At 38.6% G+C, this 6,007-nt stretch overlaps 1 protein-coding gene across 2 annotated transcripts in view; it reads right to left on the bottom strand.

The window, feature by feature from the left end:
• EGFL6 (EGF like domain multiple 6) overlaps positions 417–6,007 on the bottom strand; it is a 63,975-nt gene continuing 58,384 nt past the window's right edge. For both annotated transcript variants that reach the window (NM_001167890.2, NM_015507.4), the window contains exon 12: positions 417–1,007. In NM_001167890.2, the coding sequence (NP_001161362.1) occupies positions 897–1,007 (111 nt within the window). In that variant the 3' untranslated portion in view covers positions 417–896. The remainder of the gene's footprint in view (positions 1,008–6,007) is intronic.

The following is a 6,007-nucleotide window of genomic DNA, read 5'->3' as shown; positions in this document are numbered from 1 at the left end:
TTGAGTCCTGCTACCTGCTCATTTAGTTTTAGGTAGTTCTCTGAGGCTTTGAGCTCAACAATATATGCTGGCTGGGTGCGGCAGCTCACTCATGTAATTCCAGCACTTTGGGAGGCTAAGATGGGAGGATCGCTTGAGGCCAGGAGTTCAAGACCAACATGGGCAACATAGCAAGACCTCATTTCTAAAAAATAAAAAACAAACAAAACCCCAATATATGTGAATCTGCTTTGCAGTTATAAGGCCTAATAAAGCAGTCATATTTTCCCATAATAGAAAGTACCTTTAAAGAATATGAAGTAATAGTGAAAAGATAAAAACTACATTTTTCAGAAAAGCAAATAATCATTTACATAAGTAAACACAGAATCAAGAACATATTTTCTTACCTAGAAAAATTAAACCATGACACAAGATGATGATTTGGATATTATTATTACAAAGAATTTAAATATACAAGTTTGGCTATGAAAGACCCAGCTAAGCCACTTAGGCAAAAGTCTATCTTTGATGTCATAGTTTCCAAGAAGTATCATAAGAGTCAAACAGTTAAACATTTCTCTGTGCTTTTTTTTCTATTTTCTAGAAATGTTGTAGAGAGAAGCTCATCAACTTACTTATACAAATCAGATATACTGAGGAGGGGAGATAAACTGACATTTCCATATTTTATAATATAATGTGGAAAGATTCAGAAATGACTGAGAAGATACAGTGATATGATATTTAAAGCAAATATTGGCATATCTTATACAAGAAAGGCATCTTACAATAATATTTCTGTTGGTACATTACAATTTTTCAGCTAGTAATTCTAAAATGCCAGAGGTCCTATGATGCAATATCAAAAAAACCAGGGAACTGACATACAAAGTCAAATATAAAGATAGTAACATTCAGTCATCCACAGATAAAAGGCTATCTGGACATAAGCCTGAAACAAGCAAGACGCCATCCACTGCGATTTCGCCGGTTTTGCCCTTGCCACGTTCTGCTTCAAAAATGATCTAATAATGGAGAGAGAATAAAAAAATTACTCCAAACTGTTCAAAACAATGATATAATCAAGCTATTTAATAGCTATTAACTCGTGTCCCTATTTCATAGAAACCGGCTTCGACATTGAATATACTGTAATAGATTATTTTTTAGATGCCAGGTGTCTGCGCTGAGAGAACTACATTTGGTGAAAACAAGGTCATAGCAAAGCCCACATAGATTCTGAAAAACGCCATAAAGCTGAGAAGAATAAGATTTAAAAGGAAATTTTGGAATTCACATTTAAAGAAAAGCAAAACAAAAAATAAAATATGGTTTTCTTTACAAAAACCAAGTGAGAAGAAATTTGATATTCCCCTTGAACATCTAATAAAAAACTATATAGTCAAGGCCGGGCACGGTGGCTCACACCTGTAATCCCAGCACTTTGGGAGGCCGAGGCGGGCGGATCACGAGGTCAGGAGATCAAGATCATCCTGGCTAACACACAGTGAAACCCCGTCTCTACTAAAAATACAAACAAATTAGCCGGGCGTGGTGGTGGGCGCCTGTAGTCCCAGCTACTTCGGAGGCTGAGGCAGGAGAATGGCGTGAACCCGGGAGGCGGAGCTTGCAGTGAGCCGAGATCGCGCCACTGCACTCCAGCCTGGGCGACAGAGTGAGACTCTGCCTCAAAAAAAAAAAAAAAAAAAAAACCAAAAAACAAAACTATATAGTCAAAGATATATTTAGATTTTGGTAGTTTATATGAGTGTAATTATTTTTCTTTTTTTTTTTGAGACGGAGTCTCACTCTGTTGCTGGGATTACAGGCGTGAGCCACCGTGCCCGGCCTAATTATTTTTCTTAAAATATTGGTTAATGTATTTGGAGATTATCTGGAATGTTGTTTTCACGTGTTGAAAATATTTCATAATATGCTATAATCACTTTTGTCTAATAAATTTATTAGTAATCAAAAGAGAAACAAACTTCTTTATAGTTTAGAAATTTCTATATAGAGAGAACAGAGGATGAATACTAAAAAAATTATCTTCAAATTGGACACAAAATGACAGGGGACTCATTTAACAAAATTAAGGATATACAGTGACTATTTTATATTCATTCATTTATCCAAACATGTTTTCAAATAAATAAAATTAAAATCAATATTTGCTGAATGAAGATTTTGTTTTATTTATTTATATTTATATTTATTTTTTGTGAGACGGAGTCTTGCTCTGTCACCCAGGCTGGAATGCAGTGGCACAATCTCAGCTCACTGCAACCTCTGCCTTCCAGGCTCAAGTGATTCTTGTGCCTCAGCCTCTGAGTAGCTGGGATTATAGACATGTGCCACCATGCCCAGCTAATTTTTTAAATTTTTTAAATTTTTAGTACAGGGTTTCACCATGTTGGCCAAGCTAGTCTCGAATTCCTGGCCCCAAGTGATCCACCCACCTAGGCCTCCCAAAGTGCTGGAATTACAGGCATGAGCCACTGCGCCCGGCCTGAATGAATGTTTCTTCAATATTGTAATTTAAAAAAAAAAATAGTTCATGTTAATTTTATAATCAGATAAAACACTAGAAATATTTGTTAAATTCAATAATTATGAAAATAATAATAGCTACAATTTATGGAGCACCTATCCAGTAACATTCACTCTAAAGAGAAGTATGTCTCCCATGCCTCCCATAAAGAGCAGACTAGGCCTAGAGGGTTTCTACAATCTTCAATATCCGAAATAAGCAGATTTAGAGGACAACAAAATGATCCTGATTCAAAGATGACAAAAGTTACCCTGGAACAAACATAGAGGGAAAAGAATATTTCATTTGGAACATGGTATTCTTTAAAATAACATGCACATATAGCCTATCAAAATGAAATTCAACAATAGCCTACGCATACTGCAGTTACAGATAAATAAAAATATACATTCATGTGCAAAGTAAAATGTGAAATATAAAAGCACTCATGTTACTGTAGTATGATTATGAATCTTTTCTTATTTTCAAAAAAGTAATTTCCTTTTGTCATTTCTAAACTTTTTAAGCTCAAACTTATATAAATTCAAACTTGTATAAATTGGCATTTTAAAGAAAGACCCTTTAAGAATCATGCTCACAACAATGCCATCATGCAATTATTCACTATCCCCAGCACCATCTCTTTTTTGCTTAATAAAGAATCACAGAATAGTCTTCAGAAATGAAGCAACTTTAGGCTTGCTGTCATCACCATATCCAGTTTTCTCTGGCTCTCCAAAGAAGAGAAACCTCAGGGAACAAATGGAGATGACAAGGGTCTATGACTGCTCAGTACCTGGGCTGCTCTCTTTTGCTCTCAATCTGAGTGCATTTTCTTGAGAACTATTGGAAACAAGTTATTACTAAGCAGCCAGTGATAGCACAACTGGGTATAGAAGTTTCTTTTTCCTCTAGTCTCAGGAGGGAACTGCTTTCAGAAAGATGTTCCTTTTGCACCCAAAGGAACTTTTTTTAAAAAGTAGGGGTGAGCCAAACAGCAGACCCCTCACAGCAGCTGCAATGGGTGGGATAATGAGGGTGGCTATGTCTACATCTTGGCATATGGTGGCTTTTCCAACACTAAGACCCCTGACTGATAACCACTGGATAACTAGAAATAAATGTCCGGATAATTAATTGACATACTAATTTTGTGTTTTTCACTATATTTTTACCTCCTCTATCCCCCCCAAAATTAGGCAGGATTTTAATGTTCTTTTTTATCAAGGAGATTTGGGATATAACAATCAAAAGCAGACTTTTCTGGAAGATGGTCCCTTTCCTGACGTTTGTTACCCACAAGCTTAACTTTCTGAGACTGTGGCTGAAGGTAGAAGGTTAAAAGGAGAAGTGGTGAGGGGAGCCATGAGATTCTCCAGGACTAGGATGCTGTACCACTGCATCTCCCTGGCAGAGCCCTGGGCAGAAAATGGTTGCCTGATGTTCCTATTGAGGCTAGATTCTCAGCAACAAGATTCCAACCCCAGTAAAGGTTTCTGTGTCTGGGCCTGGCATGGAAGTTGAAGAGATGAGTGACTTCAAGGGCCACGTAGGTGCAGAAGATATGGGTATCCATGGCCCCCATGATGAAGTAAAGATGTGTTGCCCCCTTCTTAATGTCTGGACCATTTTTAGCCTTTCAAAAGCACAGGCTACCCTAGGGAGGGGGCCCCTATCCCAACCCTGAATGAGGAAATAGCCAAGATTAAATTTCCCCCCCAGCCTAATGGGATGGGGCTTTGGATTCAGAAATAGTTTGATTTCGAGAAAGCAATGTGACTTACATTGTATGCCCAAGTTTATGCAGCAAGAGTCACATATGTTACAAATGTCCACAGCCAATATGACATTGCTAAACTGGAATATATTCTTTAGACTGGATTAGTCAGCTTCCTTACCCTTCAATATCCCCCCATCAAGATTTCCCCTAGAACTGAAGAATTCAAGGAACAGATGCCTGGGTCTGAGAATGCCTCTTATGAAAGCACTGCTGTGTTCCAGTGTGATTGCTGGCCAGGCTCTTTGGGGGCATGTCTACAGAAATGTGCATTTAAAAAAAAAATCACTGTTTTGCTAGTATACCCTCCCTGCAAGCTACCATGTTATATTAAAAATATTCTCCATCACATGAATTCAGTCAACATGAAAGTGATTATGAATGCTGTGCAGAGGCATGTTTCAATTCTCCAGCAGGGGATATCATCCATATATAGCATGGCTCAGTGCCACAGTCCCCAAACCATGCTGCAAACACAACAAGAAAATACGTGGATTGGATTTGTATTGATTTAAATGTACTGCTATAAGAATAAACTCAAATTAATGCATGTGTCATTCCTAAACAAGCACTGGCTGCTTTTACCTCAGAGGGGAAGAGTGGTTAGGAAATTCATTAACTGGTACCCAACATATACTTTTATTTATAGTCATGTCTCATGACATATTTTAAACAAGATGTTCTGCTTTAATTAAACTATGACATGTAAATGAAAAGATGTTAAATTTGCATTAGTCATCTTTCACAAGCAAAGTATAAATGGAATCCCAATACATGGATCTACTAATTGCTCTTCCTATTATCACCACTTAATGTACCTTTTTCTAGCTTTCACCCTTTTTCCTTCCCACCTTGACCAAACTTTTCATTTGTTTGTTTTTTCGGGGTTTTTTTTGAGATAGAGTTTCACTCTTGTTGCCCAGGCTTGAGTGCAATGGCACGATCTCGGCTCACTGCAACCTCCGCCTCCCGGGTTAAAGCAATTCTCCTGACTCGGCCTTCTGAGTAGCTGGGATTACAGGCTTGCACACCTGGCTAATTTTGTATTTTTAGTAGAGATGGGGTTTCTCCATGTTGGTCAGGCTGGTCTTGAACTCCCAACCTCAGGTGATCTGCCTGTCTCGGCCTCCCAAAGTGTTGGGATTACAGGCGTGAGTCACCTCGTCTGGCCTACCTTGACCAAACTCTTTATAACGTCCACAGTGGCTGCCTTAAGGCTCTGATCCCTTCTCTTTTCATCTTTCTGAAGTGTGACCTTCGACCCTTCCCCTCCAAAGAAAGAACTCTTGCAAAGGTCACTAGCCACCTTCTGATGGGTCAAACTGAATAGACTCTTTGCCATTTTTATTCTGCTTGTTCTTTCTCAGGGTTTCATCCACTTGACCAACTTCCTCTTAAAACTCTGTTTCCTTTTCCTTTATTAAACCCACTGTGCAATAAAAGATTAACTCAGTAGGTCTGGGTTGTCCAAACCATACACATTCCAAAGAAAGGTTTGGCCCTTGACTGGTTCTTAGGAGATAACCTCTAAGCCCTTGTAATACCCTCTTTGATTAAGAGTGCCTTTGTTTACCTGAGGCCTTGGGCCATGCCAGATAGTTTATGGTAACAATGTGACTTATGGTGGGGGCCTTGAGTCACATGGTATCAACTTGACCACTAGAGAGGCTGGAGACTAGATAACTAAAGTCAGCTATGCAGGTGATCACATGGGCAGA

Source organism: Homo sapiens, chromosome X (assembly GCF_000001405.40).
Source record: "Homo sapiens chromosome X, GRCh38.p14 Primary Assembly".
Classification (NCBI taxonomy): Eukaryota; Metazoa; Chordata; class Mammalia; order Primates; family Hominidae; genus Homo; species Homo sapiens.
Note: the sequence above shows the minus strand (reverse complement) of the source record. Positions and strands in the feature narration are given on the sequence as shown.